The sequence below is a fragment of the Homo sapiens genome, chromosome 10 (genome assembly GCF_000001405.40).
Source record: "Homo sapiens chromosome 10, GRCh38.p14 Primary Assembly".
In the NCBI taxonomy this organism is placed as follows: Eukaryota; Metazoa; Chordata; class Mammalia; order Primates; family Hominidae; genus Homo; species Homo sapiens.
Window position 1 is genome coordinate 77476714 of NC_000010.11, and position 21240 is coordinate 77497953.

The following is a 21240-nucleotide window of genomic DNA, read 5'->3' on the forward strand; positions in this document are numbered from 1 at the left end:
CCCTGCTCTTATGATGAAAGCTCAGGGCACAATCCCAGTGCAGACTTGGAAAGGCCAGCATGCAAAAGAGGTCGGGGCACCTCCTTGTTTCTTCCATGAATGAATGAATGAATGGATTTTCTACTGACTTATATGCCATAAATATTTTCTTGAGTACTTCCTATGTGTTAGTCACAGCACTTGAGATTGGAGAGGAAAAGCAGTCAAAAACACAGAAATAAATAAGACACGACCCTACCCTCCCAGAATTCATAGTAGCACATACTTGACAGGTGAAAACATTTTTAGAAAAACAAAAACGAAAACCAGCAAGAGAACTGGCATCTGAAGGCAGGACACCTGGATTCCAGGAAAAGCTCTTAGCTGCATGACTTGCCTCCTGCCGGTCATTTGTCTTCCTTGGGCCTCCATCATCTGTGCCATGGAGATAATACCAACTTCGTGGATCCCACAGGGGTTGCCATGGAAAACATGATAAAACACAGGAACAGACCCTCTGAGAAATGTCTGCAGTGTAACTCCTTATCATAACACGAAACACTGAAGATTCTGTTGGCTGATAGGAATAAGAATTCTATTTTCCCACACTTGCCAGTCTGACTCAAGATGGCACCTAGTTCCTTGGACAAAGATCCCAAGGGTAGAGAAAGGCAATTTATCAGGCCACCATATGTCTGTGCTTACCAAGGAACCTTCTAGATGGTGACATTTTCTCATATGCTGTGGCTCACAGGGGAAAGACTGCCTCTATGTCTAGGGATGACAAGGTTTTATTCCAGGAGCAAATGAACCCCATCTGTGTGGTAGTGGCTGCCTGGAGCACTGTGTTAAAAAAGATCCTGAAGTTGCATCTTGGCTTGGCTAGAAAGAACATCCTGATAGATTATGGATGTCTGTTATGAATATGGAGTTGGGGAGTGGCACTTTGTTACTTGTGACCTAGGAAGATAACATGCCCACTCAACCACACTCCTTGTTGCACACCTTTCTTTAGAGCTGTGTCCTCTGGCCATTCAAAGGTGAGCTGAGTATTGGTCAATGCCCTGAACACGATTCCTTCTGTGTGAATTGTTAATATTAAGTTCTTAGAGCCAGCAAAGCCTAAGACATATGCCCAGCAAGAAACTGCTATTTTTAGGAAATTAGCTGGTCCTTCAGACCCGGTTAAATGTGCTAGGTGGTCTCAGTCATGTTCTTTATAAACTGAGAAGAATGCCTCACAAATTTGGGTGTCATTAGGGTCTGTGGATCCCGGGCACTGCCACACAAAATCACCCGGTTCAAATACCCTGCAGGTACATGATACCCTCTGCCGTTAATTCTATGCCATTTTGTTGAAGTCTATTCCACTTCCTTCCTTTACCACTTCTCAGGACAATGCATTCTCTGAGTTTATTATGAGCTTTATGCTCTATGAATTCTTGCCATTTTTCTAATATTTACCCTGCTTGCGTTTTAAAGGGGACCTCTCTCTTAGCATGTCAGGATGTGGCAAAGAGTCTGTACTGGCTTAGTTGCTCTGCTCACACTTTTATAAAAGTCTATTATGTCTGTGTTAATTCCCAACAGAGCTGAGCTGCAGTCAACCCCTGAACTACTTATTAAAAAGAAGCACTGAGCAGATGAACGCTCTGCTCATGACTGAGAGGGGAAGAGAACAGACTGTGTCCAAGTCCATCAACACATCATCTGTGCACCAGGAATGCTCCAAACACAAACAGCCCTAGTGAGTCACAAGGATAGATGAATGCTACGGTGATTCTTACATTTGCAGTCAGGACCACAGAGTGCTGGAGACAAGAGGCAGCTTAGAAACCATCTAGTGACTAAAGATGCAGAAATTCAGGCCCAGAACAATTAACCGGCCCACAGTGTTACTCCAAGCCAGGTATACTTACTATAAAAAAGAGTATCACAAAACTCTACATGTGAGGTATTTCATTTATGTCTCTTTTTGCTATTTCAGATGGTTTCCTCTCAGAACTAAAAGCACATTGTATTGCACATTGTAGATACTCAAAGTCTGTTAAATAAATAAACCAATGAGGTAATGTACATAACCCTGCAGAAGGATTTCAGTACAATGCTATTTATAATAGCAAAAAAGAGGAAAAAGTAAAGAGCAAATATAAGGAAAAGGAGTGAGCATCCATATAAGATATAGTCATTTAAAATATGTTTATAGAGTCCCAGTGTCACTTGGAAATGCTGATAACGTAATGTTAAGAAGAAAAGCAGAACACTAAATCGCACATATTCTAGGATCTCGGCATTATAAAGAAAAATGCACAGTAATATATTTGGGGGAAAATAAAACGAATCATGAACAGTAGTAGATGTTTCTGTTGTGATTATGGGAGGTTTTATTTCTGCTTCTTTGCACTCTGCTGTTTTTTGCAGATAATTTACAATGTGCCCATAGGATTTTCATAAGCAATGCGAGGGTATTAAGAAATAGAAAAGAATATCCACAGATATTATTCAGCCTTGCTGGGATTTGGAAAGAGACAGAGATCATTTCTCTCTTTTCACATAAAGAAGCTGATGAAACAAAGAGACAGAGACACTAGTGATGAAGGCAGGCATTAGCTCTCTGGTGTGGAGGGCCATCCAATGCCAGGCAAACAACAGATGCGGGATAAAATCCACTCAAACCACAGTGGGAGGGGGCAGGAGGTGTCCAGTCTTCCTCTTCACAAAGGTTCCATCCTTACCTTATCCAAAAGATGAGCAATACAAGGCTAGGCTCAGCCTTTACCAGCAGAGCCTCCCCAAAGACTCTCTGGCCCCTGCAGCCAATGACAATAAATTAACTATCACAGTGAGGTTTTTCCCCTTCGTCAGGCAATGTGCTATACACATTGTCTCATTAAATCCTCCCCATGTCTCTGAGGCAGGTCTTACTGTGCCCATCTGAGGGATATAGAGACCAGGACTCACACAGGTAAACCCAGGTGGCCAAGGTGTCACAGTTTGTAACCGGACCCCAGAAGCCTAAGCCCTCGCCCCTGTGCCCCGGCTGGTCATTCGTTCCTCCAGATCTTTGCAGCACTAAGAAGATGCTGCCTGGTGACATTTCCTGAATTGTTTCCCACGGGTCTTGTCTTTCAGGCTAGGACAAGTTGTTTAACCTTTCACGTGCGTCTGTCTCTCTTGCTTCCCTCAATTGGACTGTTAGCTCCTGAGGGGGATGAGGGGGTCCTGCTTTATAATTCCTTGTGTGTCCCACGGAGCCAAGCCTGGTGATGTCTTCAGTACTTGACACTTCAGATCTCAGAAAATACCTGCTCATCGATTATTGGATTGAATAGGTTAAGGAGGAGAACCGTCTCATGGGCAGACCTGGCCTGCAGCCAAGACAGAAGCTGGATGCGCCTCCCTCCGGACTCTTGACCCCACCAAATACGACGCCCATATATGTCAACTGTGGCATTGGTGTTTGTCCCCCACACCCCTAAACCACAAGCCAATAAATTGCAGGGCACTCAGACATCAGGATGTGTCCTTCACTTGCCACCAGACCTGAGCTGGCTACAGGCCAATGACAGCATAGGGCTGGCCCTGCCCGCCTCCCATCTGGCAGCAAGGATCCAGTTCCAGATTGTGACCTGTGGTTGAGTCTGGCACAGTGACCCAGGGCTCCAGCAGGCAAATCCCAGTCATAAAACCCTGGTCTGAACCAGCCACGTGATGGACCCCAGTTATCTCTTCCTAAATTGCAGCAGAGCTGATCTTCTTCCAGCTGAGCCAAGGGCCATCAGACAGGGACACGTTTACTTTTACTATCCTATTAAAGCATCCCAGAAAAAAAGAAACAGTCCCCATATCCTAGAGCAAGAAATAAGCAAATCATTATCTACAATGATATCCTTTAAGTCTAAGCTTGCCCAGAAGGTGCTGCACATTTGGAGACCAGGCTATGGCTCCCCTCTCTGAATTCTTTTGAAACCGCAGGGACTGTTACAGGCGCCTCCAAGACTCTGGAGCCACAGCTTGCCTAGCGCAGCTTCCCCCTCCCGGCAAAGCCCTCCCTGACAACCCTACCCACAGTAATCTCAACTTTCATGAACCTTTTCTCTCCCCATAGGGTGAACACATAAAGACACACACGTGCAGCCGGGCACGGTGGCTCACACCTGTAATCCCAGCACTTTGGGAGGCGGAGGTGGGCAGATCACCTGAGGTCAGGAGTTCGAGACCAGCCTGGCCAACATGGTGAAATCCTGTCTCTACTAAAAATACAAAAAAAAAAAAAAAATAGCCGGAGGTAGTGGCGGGCGCCTGTAATCCCAGCTACTTGGGAGGCTAAGGCAGGAGAATCTCGAACCTGGAAGGGGGAGGTTCCAGTGAGCTGAGATCATGCCACTGCACTCCAGCCTGGGCAACAGAGTGAGACTCCATCTCAAAAAAAAAAAAAAGATACACATGTGTATGCACATACACACGCGTGCACACACACACATACACACAGCGTGTACATGTTATTTCTCCAATGAAAGCATATTTCCCTTAAGGGATAGGACCAATCACTTATCTTTCCAGAGTCTAACTGAAAAATGGACCCAACATCCTTGAATTAATAAATAAATGAACAAATAAATTTGTTGATGGACTGGTCAGTTGATAATGTCAAGGAACTCCCTGCAACAGCCTACACAGGTTCACCCTCCTCCAAAATCATACCTTTCCAAGTCCAAGGAAATGCTCAATTCAATCATGCTGTTTTAGAAATAAAGTAATGAATGATATTAACAATTGTTTAGAAACTAACAGGTGCCTGGCCAGGCACGATGGCTCACGCCTATAATCCCAGCACTTTGGGAGGCCGAGACGGGCGGATCACAAGGTCAGGAGATCGAGACCATCCTGGTGAACACAGTGAAAGCCCATCTCTACTAAAAATATAGAAAAATTAGCTGGGCATGGTGGCAGGCCCCTGTAGTCCCAGCTACTTGGGAGGCTGAGACAGGAGAATGGCGTGAACCCTGGAGGCAGAGCTTGCAGTGAGCCGAGATCGCACCACTGCACTGTAGCCTGGGCAACAGAGAGAGACTCTGTCTCAAAAAAAAAAAAAAAAAGAAAGAAACTAACAGGTGCCAGGTACTAGGCTTTTGATATAAATCTCATACGTTAATCTTGTAAGTGAGGTAGTATTATCATTATTATCCCCATTTTACAGGTAAGAAGAATAAAGACCAGAGGGCTATCCACAACTGAAGTATAGACAGTGGGTGAGGAAACATGAACCAAATGGTTCTTCCAGACTCAGGGCCAGATCCCTGGCACAAAGTGCCTACCCTGCATTGCCTTCAGCTAACGTGCCAAGCAGACAGTTCCCATCCTTCAATTTTATTTAATCAAAGCAAAGAATTCATAAGAATCTGCCCATGTTCATTATTCAGGCAGATTAAATATTTGATAGCCCTGTAGTTTAATTTTTTATGGCTCAGAGATTGGAGTGAAGTGCTCCCTGGGAAGCCACACTGTCCCTGGGACAGGGCAGCAGCTGGCCAAGGAGGCCAGAGGCCGAGGCTCCACAGGGCTCTGCTCAGCACCCACGTGCATCTGTCCTGACTCCAGTAAGCTGCTCATGCTGGGTCCCAGGGCCAAAGGTTACAGACACTTTGTAAGTTTGCAAGAGAATCTACAAAAAGGAAAGAAGGGCTGTGGGGACAGGAGGCTTAGGGCATCACAAAATCAGAAAGGAACCCAGATGAACCAAAACATCCAGGTCCCAGGAAGGGGAGGCAGCCTCCTCCTTCTGTCTCTGACCACGCAGCAGAAACAAAGCTTTTGGACAAATGCATGAGACGGCATAAGGGCAGGATCAACTTGTCCATCTCTCTGCCAACTAAAGCACCACAGGGCCATTTGGGACCTTTTGCCTGCCCCTTCCAGCCACATGTAACCTTCACAGTCACTACATATTCCTCCCAGTTCACTGTCTCCCTGCAGAAGCTTGAAAGTCCACAGAGAACAAGAAGAGCTGGGAGCCAAGAGTCCTTCACAGCCTCAATCTGTTCTCCTCTGGCCTAAAGAAGCTCTCTTTCCTAGTCCTTTTCTTATCTTCAAAATGAAATTCCAGCAGTTTTTGTCTCAGCTACCCCAAAATGCCCAAATGTCATGCAGCATGATTTCAATCCCTGAACTGCTCCAACCCACCCCGATGCCCCCAAGTCTCTCTCTTGCTCTCCTTCCCTCCTTTCCTCCTTCCCTTTCTCCCTCCTTCCCTTCTTCTCTCCCCCATCCTTCCTCTCTTCTCTCTCTCTCTCTCACATACACACACACACACACACACACACACACACACACACACACACACACACACCCCTTGTTCTTCTGTGCCTACCATAGAACAAGACCTAATATCTAAGAATTTCACTGGTACCCAGTCAACATCCAACCAATTAATTTGTTCAAGGGTTTAGAGGGGCCAGGAGAGGAGACTTTTTCACTCCAGCAGCCCACGGAGATTTCTGTTTTAATTTCTTTTTAATTGGCAGCGCCACTAACAGCATATCAGAAATCTCTCTGCTCCGACCCTTCTCCTCTCCTCTGTTCTCTTCAACTTTTACAAGGGAAGGACATCCGGCAGTTTTCTGGAAAAATAGAGACATGTCACAGCAGAGCCCAGCTCCTTTTTCCTGCCATCCCTATTCATCACCAGCCTCCTGAGGAGCCGGGGTGGTGACACAGGCTCTCACTTCATCCATGTGGGGCTCATCGGGGCAGGTGACGAGGAGAAAGGCATGCGCCACTCCCCCCAGAGATGGGGCCTGTCGCCTCCTGGGAAAACTGGGGTGGAGGGCTCTCTTCCCCGATCACCTGGCTCTATCTTGCTCTACAGACACCTCACTGGGCCCTCAGTACTCTCATGAGAAGAGAGCAGACTTCCAGCCACCCCTGCTTGCCACTCCAGGCCTCTCTGCTGATGGGTGTATGGCCACGGGACACTGGAAATAACAGGAGTGTGTGGTGAGGGAGAACTGTTTGCCCATTTTCCACATTCAAGAACCTGGTGAAAAGATGAGCAAGGATTATCTCCACACTGGAACCATTCATGCTGCAAAAACAGCACTGAGACATTGAAGGGGAGGAGGCAATTTATTTGCTGTCTTGACACTGTCGCCCAAGCAATTCTCATCGTGACAAAAGAACACTCTGGACAATCACTGCCCCTCCTCTTTCAGGAAACCACACTGAGTTTTCATGACTTGCAGGTGACATTTTAATAAGGAATCAACATGGAACCACAGGGGAAGTAAGCTGAGGCCAGGATCTAGGAGGACCAGGGTGGGAGGGGCCAAAAATGGCACTCAGGAAACAAAGTCACCTACGGTGCAAAGGCTCTTTGTGCCTGCAAGTCTGGCACCGTGGGATTTCTGGCTTTTTTCTCCTCTCTCATTTACTATTTGGGCAGAGGGGAAGTATTTTCCAGAAAGGACAAAGTAGAAGCAGCCTCAGTAAAGAGCTCTCTAGAAACTTCTCCTATTCAGTTGGTGTTTTACAAAGTGCAAAGCACTGCAGGCACCTCCATTCACTTATCCCGTTACGTGGGTGTCGTTATCTACATCTTATAGGCAAGGAAAATGATGTGCCCAAGGTCACAGAGCTACTGAAAGAAGGAAGGAGAAATCAGACATTTCTGTGCCACCTCCTTATAGAAGTTGCCGTCCCCCATCATAATCCAATTAATGGTAAAAATCACAACTGAGGCTAGATATGCAGTAACTCCTTGTGCTCTGCACAGTGCTAAGCACTTTACATCAGTTGTCTCCTATTTTAATCCTCATACTAATGCCAGGAGAGAGGTGTTATCACTCTCATTTGTCAGATGGGGAAATCAAGGCTCTGGGCCATCAGTCACTTGTCCCAGGCCACAGAAGCAGCAGGAGCAGAACCAGGATTCAAACTGTGTGCCCCTGCCTGTGTATCTCCATGGTTCTCAATCTTGCCTATCATCAGCATCACCTGGACAAATGGTCCAAACAAGACATGCTGGGCCCCACCCAAAGAGTCGCTAAGTCAGTGGGGCTGAAAGCAAGCCTAAGAATCTGCATCGCCAACAACTTCCCAAGTGAGGCTCTTACTGCTGATATGAAAACTCCACTTTGAGAACCTCTGCTCTGTCTAGCCTGCCTCTTGTCACCCACAAGCTAATGTGAGCATCCTGTTAGACAAGTAATGGAACAAGATGTGCAAAATGTGGCTGCAGGAAGTTCACTTCCTGATGCACAAAATCGCTCCAAGAAATCACACACCATCCAGAAACACTTAAGCATCATCTGCATTAAACATCAACTAAGGGATGTTCTAAGCCAATTTACTCTAAGACTCACTCTCTCCTTCTTCTGAACCTCCTCTGCTGAAAGTGACCATCTTCCAGCCAGCCCACCTCATGATCATTAAAATACAGCTGTGGAGACATAGGGAGCACTTCTGAATGAGCAACCCCCATCAGTGTCCACTCCCACGTGTGTATTTGTATGCCCATCATGCACCATATGGTGCTCATATTACATACGCAATAAAGTGCACACAGATGTAATCATTTTAAAGAGTGATAAACGTAAATAGAAATAGATGTCTTAACATTTTCTTCCCCTATTCCAAAGGATAGTTTTGTGCATCCCACTTTGGAGGCTGCTGGTCTAGAATTCACTGTTCCCGTTTCTAATTTCTGATCATTAGAATTTGGCAACCACCCCCTGCCCCTGCAGGCTGACCGAGCGTGTCTGAAGAGTTGCTGTGCTCTGTGGTTCGAGGAAAAGCCGTTTCCTTTCTGTTAGCAAGCCCCTAGAGAACACAGGCTGACCCTCCAAGACTTGCCCAGCACAAGCTCTGTAAGTAAGGATGGCTCAGCCAAAGCTTCTTGACTGTGGGGGTCTTTTCTCCAAAAGAGAATAAGAAGCATCTCAGAGCCCATAGAGAAGACAGTGGCTGTCTCTAAAAGCTTTTGACCTAACAAGCAAGAGCAGGAGACTGAGCCCTCACTTCTAAAGCAGCAGGAGGAGAGGGAACTGGATCAGGGTCAGAGAGCAGGCCTTGGGATCAGCCTCCACCAATAACCATGGGTGAGACTGGGACCACACTGTGTCCCCCAAGGACCAATGTCCTTGCTTGTCAAATGAGATATAGGGTGACCAACCAGTATTGTGGGGCCTCCCAGAATGCCAGAGTTTAGTGCCAAAACTGAAACACACTAGAATGTTTGGTCACCCTAGCTGTGGACCAGGTACCGGGCTCTGGGCAACTATAAGTGTTTATCAGCCCTACCCTGACCTCTGCTGTAAGGTATCCTAGGAGAGCCTGAGGGAGCTGGAGGCCATTCCCTGCTCACTAGGGTGTTGCAATCCTAACAAGATAGAGATAATGATAAGCCATGCCAAGTCAAATGTCAATACCAGGTCAAAACAGAAGCTGGAAAGAGGACATAATGTAGGCTGCCGTGGCCAGGACAGACCTTCAGGAGGAGGGCAGGGTGCAGGAGGAGGCAGATTAAGCACACACTGAAGTATTCTTTCCTCAACCTCACCTCATCTCCTCCCTCCCCTTCCCCACCACCAAGTAGAGCAGGACCGCAGAGAATGAACTTAGGCTCTGGAGTCTTCCTGTTTGATTCCAAATCTGGTGCTACACTTTTCCTTTTGGAGTGATCTCGGGACCATTACTCAAACTGCATAGCTGAGGTATTGTTTTCTTTAAAATGGAGCCAATTATACCCCACTTTCCAGGGTTGTTCTAAAGATTCAATGAAGTAATGCACACAGAACACTTTGAAATTGTGGCTGAGAGCACAAGCTCTATAAATATTGGCTGTTCTTAACCTCTCTTGACCCTTTTCAATCTGTTCGTGAATCTAAGGTATTTTCAAAGAACAGTGAGCTCTCCATGAGAATGAGCTATCCTGAATATTTCTGTTATTAATGATGGGTACAGCCGGCTTAGTTCTGCTTCTATCTGTCACTCCTGAAGCCAGGGAGGATGAGAGGGTGTGTGGAGAGAAAGTCACAGGGAAGCCAGCCCTGGCCCCGGGCAAAGCCCAAGGGTTTCTCCTGGCCCTGTGCATAATAAGAAGCAGCTTCCTCTGTCTCCATTTCCAGCTCCTAGCCCCAAGCAGGCAAGTCATGGAGGGGTTTCCCTTCCTCCCTAGTCCCCCAGGTTCTGAAGAAAGAAAGGTTCAGAGGCCTTCTCCCTCTGCAGAAAGGGTATGTCACCTCAGGCCATGACAAGTCCCCAGCTAAGCATCCGCTCAGGACCACTTAAAGCTCTTGAAAATGAGCTGTCTTAGCTCATGGCAGGTTTCAAGAATCCCTGCAGGATGAAATACCAGCAGTGTTCCCCATAAACTCAGTCAGCGATGTTGATGGTAGGAACCAGGAAAGGTACCGTCCTGCCTAACTTTCTCTCCATCCAGCTCAGCCCTAGAACTCAACACATATAGTAGAATCTAGATGAGTAAACCCCCACACAGACTTGGCCCTGAAATTCCACCATTAGGCATTCACTTCTTTGATATGAACTTCTTTTCTGTAGGTAATACATTTTTTTTTGGTTGCCTGGTATGTCAACTGGAACACACTTAAATGAAGAAGACCAAGATTCACCTCAGCCTCTCCCCTTAGAAATCTCGCAAGTCAACTGGGGAAAACAAGCCACACAGAAGTGTAATACACAAAAAGAAGTGTATACTTCTTCAAAAAGTATATACTTTTGGTGCAATACACAGAAAGAGAGAGAAGTGCAATACAAAAGAGAGAGAGAGACACTATCACACTTGCCCTCAAAGGGATACCCCCAACAACACTGCACATTCCCCTTACCACACCCCCATTGCACCTTCAACACAATATCCCAATAAAAGTAATTAGATTAAATGGTCATTGTTTGTCATGGGCAATTCTCTCACTGTACTGTGAGTTCCTTGAGGCAATTTTTCTCTTTTTATCCCCAAAATTTCGTGCATGGGACAGAGTAAGTAGTCAATGAAGATTTTTAAAAATTGTTAATTAAGGAATATTTTAATAAAAGTAAAATGGAAATGCAAGACATTTTGAGAAGGGCACCAGCTTAAGCCAGTGGTCCTCAGAGATGGCCCTGGACCTGCAACATCACCTGGGGATGTGTAAGAAATGCAAAGTTGTCCCTACCCCAGAACTACAAAGTCAGGAGTCCCCAGGTTGGGCTGGTACTGTGCGTTTTAACAAGGCCATCCAGGTGATGCTAATGCCCACTCAAGTTTGAGAACCAATGACTTCATTCAGCCTTTATCATCAGACACCTTCTGCAATATGGGTTAACTGTCCTCAACTCTGTGAATATAGGCATATATTCATTCAATATATGCCTATTAATAAGCACCCATGCAGCAAAGGCCAGGTGGAGCCAGCCCTGGTCATTAGGTGGCCCAACGATGTCGACAAGATGGCAGACAACATGGTGAGTCCCTAAGCAGTTACTCCCAAAGACCCTCAAAGGCTGTTCTGAGCCAACAGGAAGAAAGGCCACCAAGTTGTGGCTGTGGCCAGCTGACTGCCCTTTAGGAGGAGCTGTGAGGATGAGATTTCCTAGCAGGAAGCTGCTCTGGGGAAGGGGGATGGCATCCTGACACCTGGGAGCAACAGCCTGGACCATGGATTGGGAGGCGGAGGGAATGGGGCAGGGCAGTGGGCCACCCACCTTGTGCCATTGGCTGCCGGACCCTGAGCACTGACTGGTTTGGAGCCTGGTGTCTGGGCTGGTAAGGAAGCAAAGGTGAAAGGGGTGTGGGATAAGGCAAGGTGAGGGAGCAGCTGAGCCAGCATCCCCTTCTGATCTGTTGATAGGCTCCACATCTAGGCCTCTTCTAAACAAAAAGGCTGAGCTGCCGGCTCAGCAGCAGCTCTGTGGGTGCACAGCCCTGCCCATCATTTCCCCCTGTATTAGGAACAACCGCCCAACTCTGGCCCCTGGGGCAGGCCCAGAGCCCAGGGGTGACGAGGAGACAGCACCTCAGCCCTGGAAGGTACCATGTCCAAGTGCTCCTCAGCCAGGGCAGCCATGTTCTCTGGAAACCAGTAGAAGTGCAGAGGACACTCTGTTCCCCAATCAGGGGCAAAGTTGCCACAACTTCTCCAGACTTGGTTTTCCAGGGCCATAGGTCACCTGCTGACACTTCATTTAAACCATTCTCCTGTTATAAAAAGGGACAGTTTGGCCAACCTCTCAACTTACAGGCCCTTTAGCCCAGTGTGGCTAGCCGGCTCTTCCCAGGCACCCACAGGCCAGGAGCTAGGAATGCCTGCTCCACTCAAGGCCCACCTGCCCCTTCCCATCTTCCCCCTCTAGGCAGAGGGGGTCATAAGGGTTGCAGGAGCCTCAGACAGGGGTAGATGACCCCAGGGCCTACCTGTGATCTCAGGGCGATGGGTAGAGCTCACAGGGCTGACAGACAAAAGATAGGGTGCCAGTTACATTTGAAATTCAGAATAAACAAGAAATAATTTTTTAGCATAAGTATGTCTCAAATATTGCATAGGGCATACTTAAACTAAAAACTAAAAACCAAAAACCTATCTTGCTTATCTGAAATTCAAATGTAACTGGACAACCTTATTTTCTTTTTATTTATTTATTTTTTATTATTTATTTATTTTTTTTGAGATGGAGTCTCACTCTTGTCGCCCAGGCTGGAGTGGAGTGGCACGATCTTGGCTGACTGCAACCTCTGCCTCCCAGGTTCAAGCAATTCTCCTGCCTTAGTCTCCCTGGTAGCTGGAATTACAGGCACCCGCTACCATACCCGGCTAATTTTGTTTGTATTTTTAGTAGAGACAGGGTTTCACCACATTGACCAGGTTGACCTCGAACTCCTGACCTCAGGTGATCCGCCTGCCTCAGCCTCCCAAAGTGCTGGGATTACAGGCGTGAGCCACCGCGCCTGGCCTGGACAACCTTATTTTCATTTGCTGAATCTACCATCCTTACTCTATCAGCAAGCCCAGAATAGGAAAACCTGGTTTTTCCAAAGCAGAGCTTAATATCACAAGAGAAAGAGCCTTGAAAATACTATAGAGTAAGGCCTCATTCACATGGGTGAGGTTGATAATTTACTTCACAGGTGAGATGACAGTATCAAGGTTCTGTCTGGCCTCTGGCCTCTGGTCAATTGATTCAAACTTTGGATCCCAGCTCTGGTGCAGCTGTGCTGCCTAACCTCAGCAAGTCACTCCCCCTTCCTGGTGGTCAGTTGTCTCATCTTCAGGTTAGGACAGAGTTTCTCAACCCCGGCACTGTTGACATTTTGGTCCAGATTACTCTTTATTGAGGAGGGTTATCCTGTGTATTATAAGATGAGCAGTGTCCCTGGCCGCTACGCACCGGATGCCAGCAGCACCCACCCCAATTTGCCAATGTCTCATGGGAGGCAAAATCATGCCTGGTTGAGAACCACGGGGTTAAATGACCCTATATCCTAATATCTAGGGCTCCCACCACTTTTAACAGTCGAGAATTATTGGGTTTACACATGAATTTGTGGCAAAGATTCCTCTTAAATATCCAACTCCCATAATGAATCTAACAGGAGATGTGAATGACCAGGGTTTGATTACATGTAAACTTTTTAAAAATGTATCCTCTACCTCACTCCCCTCAACCTCATTCCAGCATTCAGAAATTGACCTAGCCTGATTCCAGCAAGTGGCTCCAGCTCTTTGATGGCCTTACAGACAGCAATGACTTAATAATACTAAAAAATAAAATTATCATCACCCTGATTGAAGGGAATGATTTACTGGAACTTCTTGGGCAAACAGTTTTTGCTAGTTTAATATTAATATGACTACTACTAACGATAGAGTGTGTAGAGTGCCTACAACACGCTAAGACCACACTAGGTTATGTCATTTAATCTTCACAATAGACCTAGGAGGTTGGTGCTGTGCTTATTCACATTTAGCAGTTGAAAAGAAATTAGGCAGTTTGCCTAAAGTCACAGACTCTGCCTGTGCTCTTTCCAACACAGAAACAGTCTATTTACATACAGCTCTCACAGGAGTAGGGAAATTCATTCCTCCCTGGGCCTCCATTCCAGGTAAATACTCACAGTCTTTCATCTCCAGGACCGAAATCTCTAGGACCACACAGAACCCCAGTCCTTATAGGGCTGCCACGTACAGACAACACACTGGCTTGTAAATGTATCTTGACCTTGCTTTTACCTTGAACCACTCTTTGTAACTCCAGGGCCTACTGTAGGAGCCCTAATCAGCCCTACTGTAGGAGCCAGGCCCACATCAGGCACTCCCTCAATAAATGGTTGCTAAATAACTCAGTGTTCCCCCATTTCAAAGATGGAGACACTGAGGTCCACCTCTTTCCGTGCAAGTCATTATCTAAAAGAAAACCAACGCTGGCTCTCAGGTTTTGTTTGTCCTGAATCCAAAATCCCCCACAGTGCTGATTCACTTTGTTTTCTTAACTTGCTCTTAAGATCCCACATTTCCTTTTGTATTATTAGTGGATGGAGAGTTGATTGGATTTGAGTGACCTGGTTGCCTGGTGGCCCAAAGGACTGGCCCAGGAGACCACTGAAGAGTTCTAGAGCCTGGATCTGGAACTGGGGCCTGGAAAATCGTGTGTCCGTGCCCTCAGTTACTAGGTCACCTTGAGTGGGGCTGCCACATTGTTCCATGGCCCAGTTTCCCCTCGGACAGCATGCTGAGTGAGATTCCCCCCACGGCGTGCTATTATTACCTGGCACACCAAGGAATTAGGCCACTGCTACAATGAGGCCACCCCGCCCTCCAAGATTCTTCAAAATTCTGCTCCTTAGAGCAGGACAACAGGGCAATGTAGGGCAGTGGCTCCAATTTGCTGAGGACTGCAGGATGAAAGAGGGCATCTTGGGGTGACTGGGTGAACACTGTTCTGGGACACCCAGCTATGACAGAAGGGACCACAGAACAAAAGGGTGCAAACTGTGGGCCTCACCCTGGGGGGAAATGGGTTTAGAAGTCATACACACACACACACACACACACACACACACACACACACACCCTACATATACCACCAGGGAGTCTAATTTTAGTAGCCATTTGCCCCAGCAAAGCACTTTGCAAGTAGTTATTTTGAGAAATGGTATTAGCCATTCGGTTATTTTTAATGCCCCTTCTGTGACAGGCATTTGTGACATAAACAGCAGCTGAAAGACCATAAACCCATAGCCCTTAGATGTGTTCAGGGCCCAGGCAGCAGCCCCTTGGGATGTCCCAAGCCCAATTCAAATGGAGGGAATGGGCGAGCATCTTGTACGCCCTGCCGGTCCCGCCTCACTGCCTACTGCTCCGTTCACTGGGGATGGGCAGCAAGATTTGACTGAATGGGAAGCCCCTCTGGTCTGTGACAGCCAGTGTGCTAATGACAACCTTCAGTGCTTGCCGACAGAGTGCAGGTGAAAATCCACACTGCTAATGAAGGTCCCTCGTGGGCTGTCCCCAACCTGATGTTCTCAGACCCTGCTCCCAACACATGGCTTCCACACTCTCTGCCTTCCCACATCCTCCCCTCTGCTCAAGCTGACCTCTCATTTGGATCAGCCCACTCCTCATCTCTCATAACCCAGCCCCTGCTGATCTGCATGCTCTGATTCCCCATAATGAAAGAGCTGGATCACCTCCTTGGCCTTCTGCATCTAATAGCTTGAATTGTTGGCCACCTGTGTACTTGTATTTCTTATTGAAGCCACTGCATTTACTCTGTACTGAGGATGCACCAGGCATCATTCTAAGCCCTTAATGAAGTTCAGGGAACTTTCCTGAGGATCCTAGCTGGTATCATCATCATCTAGATTTTCGAGATGATGAAATGGAGGTATAGGGAAGTTACCCAAGGCTTCTTTGCAAGTAGTGCTCTAAGCAAGACTACAGATGCAAGAGCCTCACGGTCTAGGTCTAACCCTGGTTCTGCACCTTGGAACCATGGACAAGTTCGTCAGTCTGTGCCTCAGTCTTTCCCTGAGTTCCTGTAAAGATTAAATGAGTTAATGCTTATATGATCCCTTTACAGATGTCTGGCACATGACAGGCACTGTCTAAGAGTCCTCGCTTGTATGGGAGTGGAGAGGAGAGGCCAGAGTATTGTAAGGTAAGATGTATTAGTGCCTACAATGTGTTATGCAATGTACTAAAGCATTCTGCATGTATTATCATATTTAATGCTCATAATACCTTGTGAAATTTTACAAAGAAATTAAGCTTAGAGAAGTGAAATCATTCTCCTGTGGTCAAAGCCAGTGAATGGGGATTTGAACCAGGTAGCTGAACACAAGTCTAAGTTTATTAACCTGAATCCTCTGCTGGTTGTCTTGACTCTCTGGAAACTGATCATGTCTTCAGATTTCCCACAGTTCCTGGCACTAGGTTGAGCACTCTAAACAGATTCAATGCCAATTGCAGGCTTCTGACAAGGCTTCCTAAATGCAGAGCCCTGGCTGCAGATCAGGAGACCCTGGCCCCTCCAAGGGCACCCCGGCTAATCAGCCTCTTCTTCTGACTTCTGACTCCACCCCAGGACAGGCATGGTGCTTCGAAAGCAGAAGTAAGGCAGCAGAACACTTGGAGAAGCCTCGCTGAGGGCCAGGGCCTGGTGGTTCGGATGGCAGCAAGCTGCCCCCAGGGACCCAAAACCCAAAGGTCAGGAATGTAGTACTGGCCAGCCAGGGCAGGCACTGCTGTGTGGTAGAAGAGAAGTCCAGAACTGTGAGGCGTCAAGCGTGAGTTGGAGGCAGGATGGCAGTGAGAATGCACGCCCAACTGAGCGAGTGCGTGTGAGTGAATTATGTGTGTGGTTCAGTTTTAGGCACTGGGCAGATTTGCAAAGCTCATCACCCTCCTAGAGTTGCCTGCAAAAGGCCACATGTTTAACACCACGTCAATCAATCAACGGAGGTGCACTGGGTGGGGAGTGTGTGGCCAACCCAGCACGGGGAGCCGTGCAGCTGCAGGGAAGAGAGCATCTCTTTCCCCAGTGGCTCATGGTCATAGCCGAGGACACAAGACTGGCCCTTGTGGGAAAATTGAGGGGACCTGTTAAATGCTGACCTCTAATGTGGTTCCAGTTGAGTCACCATATTTCTTGTGAACCTCCAAAGCACTGGAAGACTTCTGGGCCTCGCGTGGCTGCAGGTGAAACATACAGCCAATCACTCCACCCTGGAGTCTTGGTTTCCTCCCCTGCAGAATGAGAGTGACGCTGATAAGACATCTCAGGCAGAGGCGAAGGAGGTGAGCCCTGTGGGAATTTCGGCTGCCCCTGTGCCAGGCTGAACAAGACAGGGCCTTTGCTTTCTGGGGGCTGATGAGTCATATAAAGGGGATAGAATCAAACACTCAAAAGACAATAACCGCAACACAGGGCTGGGTGAATAAATACACAACTGGCTACTCAGAATGGGATAACCATGGGAGAGGACTTTTAATGCCAAAGAAACTCACCACGTTGCCTTTGACTTTGAAAAGTGATCTGTGCTTAATCTGGCATTTCGCCAATTGGACCATGAGCAATGGGGTCCCAGTCCTCATTACCCAGTGCCTCCTTTGCTTCAGGCCAGGGCTGAATAGGTACTTAGGACATTCCTAAGAAGGACTGTGCAGGAGGAGGCTAGCCCAGCTGCCTGGCTAGCCTCAGCACACACATTCCCTGGAACAGCAGCCTCGCTTACTGCCAGACCCCACAGGGGTTTCTGCAGGGGCTGGACAAACGGGCACATGGGGATGAAAAGGGTAGAGTCCCCAGAGTCAGTCAATGTCAGTGAATTGGCAGCCGCTGCTCACAGAGCTGTCTGGATTCTTTGCAGCCCAGAGAGCACCTTTCACCACCCAGATGGGGAGGCCTTGCCAACCCTGAGCCCCTCAGGGAGGTCATACGTGTGATTCTCAGACACCAGAGGGAGCAGTTTTCCAGAGAGTGAAGAAATGGGATCCGGGAAGCTTGGTGAATTCGTCTGCTGGGGCTGCCATCATAAAGTATCAAAAACTGAGTTGGATTAAATAATAGAAATGCATTGTCTCACAGGTCTGGAGGCCAGAAGTCTGACATGGAGATGTCGTTGGGGTCAGTTCCTTCTGAGGGCTGTGAGGGCACATGTGTTCCAGGCCTCTCTCCTAGTTTTCTTGTCCTTCCTTGGCTTACAGATTCATCACCGCAATCTCTGCCTTCATCTTTATAGGCATTCTCCCTGTGTGCATGTCTGTCTCTGTGTCCAAAGTTCCCCTTTTTATAAATATGACACCAGTTATTTTGGGTTAGAGCCCACGCTAATGATCTCATCTTAACTTGATCATCTGCAAAGACCTTATTTCCAAATAAGGTCACATTCACAGGTACGGAGGGCTAGGACTTCATTATCTGTTGGGGAGACACAATTCAACCAATAATATTTGAGTTCCTCAAAGGAAAAACAGCTTTTTAAAAAGCCAAACTGAAATTCCTAACATTACTAATATACTGGAACAGAGTCCCAAGAAGTAGGCTCAATGTGTGAAGGAGCTTCCCGGTTCCAGCCCCCACGTTACCCCAGCCCAGGCCTTTGTGGCCTCCCGCCTGCACTGCTCTGTGATGGGCCCCTTGCCGGCTGCCCTGACTTGGCCTGTCTCCCTTCTGCTACCTCCGCATCAGGCTGCCACACCTTGCATCTCACCACCAGGTCCACCTCGGTCACGACACCTTCCTGGTCTAAAGGCCCCAGTGGCAGTCAACCACCCAGAGGGCTGACTGTGGCTCACTCCTTTTGACTTCAGCACCCTTGGTAATCTGCACCAACAGAAACATCGGCCAATGAGTGCCGTGATTTCTCTGCCCGTTTTCTCATTCATGAAAGGGAGAAAAAACGAACTCTCCATGCATCTACTCCCAACACATTCCCCTGAGAAGCCTGCGGGGAAGCTCCCTGGGAGCCCATTGCCAAAGCTTCCACCTCATGGAGCTGGCGTGTACACAGACAGGCACAGCCTGCCGTGCTGGGCCACCATACTGGTGACTGGCTGTGCTCTGGTCCCAGCCCAAGGGGTGGGCAAAAGAGGAAAGCCAGCCTCATGATGAGCAGAGGACAGGGAAGAGACCCCCACACCAGGGACTGACCCCTCCATTCCCTCAGAGGAAGCAGAGGCTACTGAGCCACCAGTACCCCCGCGGTTCCTCCCTGTAGTTGCTCATGGAAAGCCACCAGCCTCAGGAAGTCTTCCTGTGTGGAAGCTCACTGGCACCAAGGCAGGCTGAGCCCCTCTGCCAAAGGTTCTGGGCAGCCATCGGTCTGATAAAGACACAGAGCCCTCCTTGGAGGCCTGGAAGCCCCACCCCTAGAAGGTGGTCCTTGAAAGCTCTGTCACTCATTTCTTCTCCAGAGCCCCTGAAGCATCCTCCATGCAGCTGTGCCCACCTGACCATACAGCCTGGCCCTCCCTTAGCAGCACCCTGGACTCCATTCCTACCACCTCCTTGACAACAGAATCCTGTCTGTCACCCTCCTCACCAGGTGCGGGTCTTCAAGATAAGAGACCACCTCATGCATGTTACAAGGAATGCTCTAGAAGGAGCACCATTCAAGAAAGAGAGGACAGGGCCGGGCACGGTGGCTCACGCCTGTAATCCCAGCACTTTGGGAGGCCGAGATGGGCATATCACAAGGTCAGGAGATCGAGACCATACTGGCTAACATGGTGAAACCCCGTCTCTACTAAAAATACAAAAAAATTAGCCAGGTGTGGTGGCGGGCGCCTGTAGTCCCATCTACTTGGGAGACTGAGGCAGGAGAATGGCGTGAACCCGGGAGGCAAAGCTTGCAGTGAGCCAAGATTGCGCCACTGCACTGCAGCCTGGGTGACAGAGCGAGACACTGTCTCAAAAAAAAAAAAAAAAAAAAAAAAAAAGAGGACAGGTTGAGCGCCCTGTCAGACCAGTGGGCCCCCAAAGCTATATACCATGTTTGTTTACCTACTTGATTTCTCAACATCACTGTGAGGGAGCTATGAACATCCTCATTTTACATACAGGTAAGGTAACTGAAGTTCAGCTAGATTAAGTGTGTTGACCAGGACACAGCACTAGCAAGAGCCTGAGGACACCTGGCTCCTGCTGTCACCTGGCTGTCTTCACCTGGTGTCCCACAAGTACTTCAAACTCTGCTCTCCAAAGCTCTGCTCATTGTCTTCCCACTCGCCATCCTTACCAGCCCCTACCCACACTACCTTGCTCTTCCTGAATCCTTTGTCCTCACTAGGACACCACCCTCTACTCTGCTGACCAGGCAAACAAAAGGACCCAGGCGAACAAAAGGACCAGTGTTGCCCAAGGCCTCTGCAGAGGTCTGTGCATGCATCTCAGAGAGCGAACTAACCATGGGAGTTCAGCACTGATCCTATTGTGTCCTTCCACTGGCTTTTTGTCTGAGCTCCCACTGGAAAAACCCTGCATTCTTACTTGATGAATTTTCAAAAGCAGCCAGGGCTTTATTATCAACTGTCTTTTATGAATAATCAAAGTCCAATGGGGACTCCCTAATTAGCCTGGGCATGAAGGCCATTTGCATAACATATTGAATGCCTCTGGAGTGTCAGGTACCTCAGTAGACATGATGGTTCATGCACTAAACCTCAGCATGTGACCAAGCCTATGGCCAGACACAGATGAACTTGAAAGTGATGCACTGGAAGTCGATGCCCCTTGAGGGTGGGTGAGCTCACAGAGTCTATTCCTGACACTGTTGCTCTCACCTCGTGACAAAGAACCAATGCTGCTTTCTTGCATCCACCCCTGAGTTCCAGAACCCCCGCAGACAGGCTTCCAAAAACTGTGTCCCCAAACTAAGACTGTGTGATATGTAAGAAGAACTGGCAGGGGACCCAACCTATATTATAAAACCTCTTGATCTCCTAAAAGAGAGCTGAGTTTAACCCGACTTAGATCACCAGGACAGATGCTATCACAGAATCTTAGAATCTGAGGTTGTAATGGTCTTCTCCAATTCAATATCAAATCCAGTGCTCCCAGTCCTCTTCTCCTAGGACTTTGTATTTGAGGTGGGGAATAAGGGAGAAAGTGGAAGATGTGGCTAACTTGCAGGTGAGTAAAGGAGAAGTCAGGAAGAAGTAGTGACTTGTCCCCCAATTCCCACACTCAGGAGCATGGGCAGTGGAGGGAGAAGGATGCTGCCACTGGCTTCATTTACATTTGTCCATTTACAAATACCATGGCAACAAG

The 21240-nt window shown here is 47.9% G+C and overlaps 1 protein-coding gene across 53 annotated transcripts in view; it reads right to left on the minus strand.

Annotated features, from left to right (window-relative positions):
- The window catches only part of KCNMA1 (potassium calcium-activated channel subfamily M alpha 1), a 768207-nt gene that overhangs the window by 607112 nt on the left and 139855 nt on the right, over positions 1 to 21240 (minus strand). For 17 of the 53 annotated variants that reach the window (XM_017016217.2, XM_017016213.3, XM_047425196.1 and 14 more), the window contains exon 2: positions 17085 to 17216. The exons of the other annotated variants lie outside the window; for them this stretch is intronic. In XM_017016217.2, the coding sequence (XP_016871706.1) occupies positions 17085 to 17216 (132 nt within the window). The remainder of the gene's footprint in view (positions 1 to 17084; positions 17217 to 21240) is intronic. 53 annotated transcript variants of the gene reach the window in all.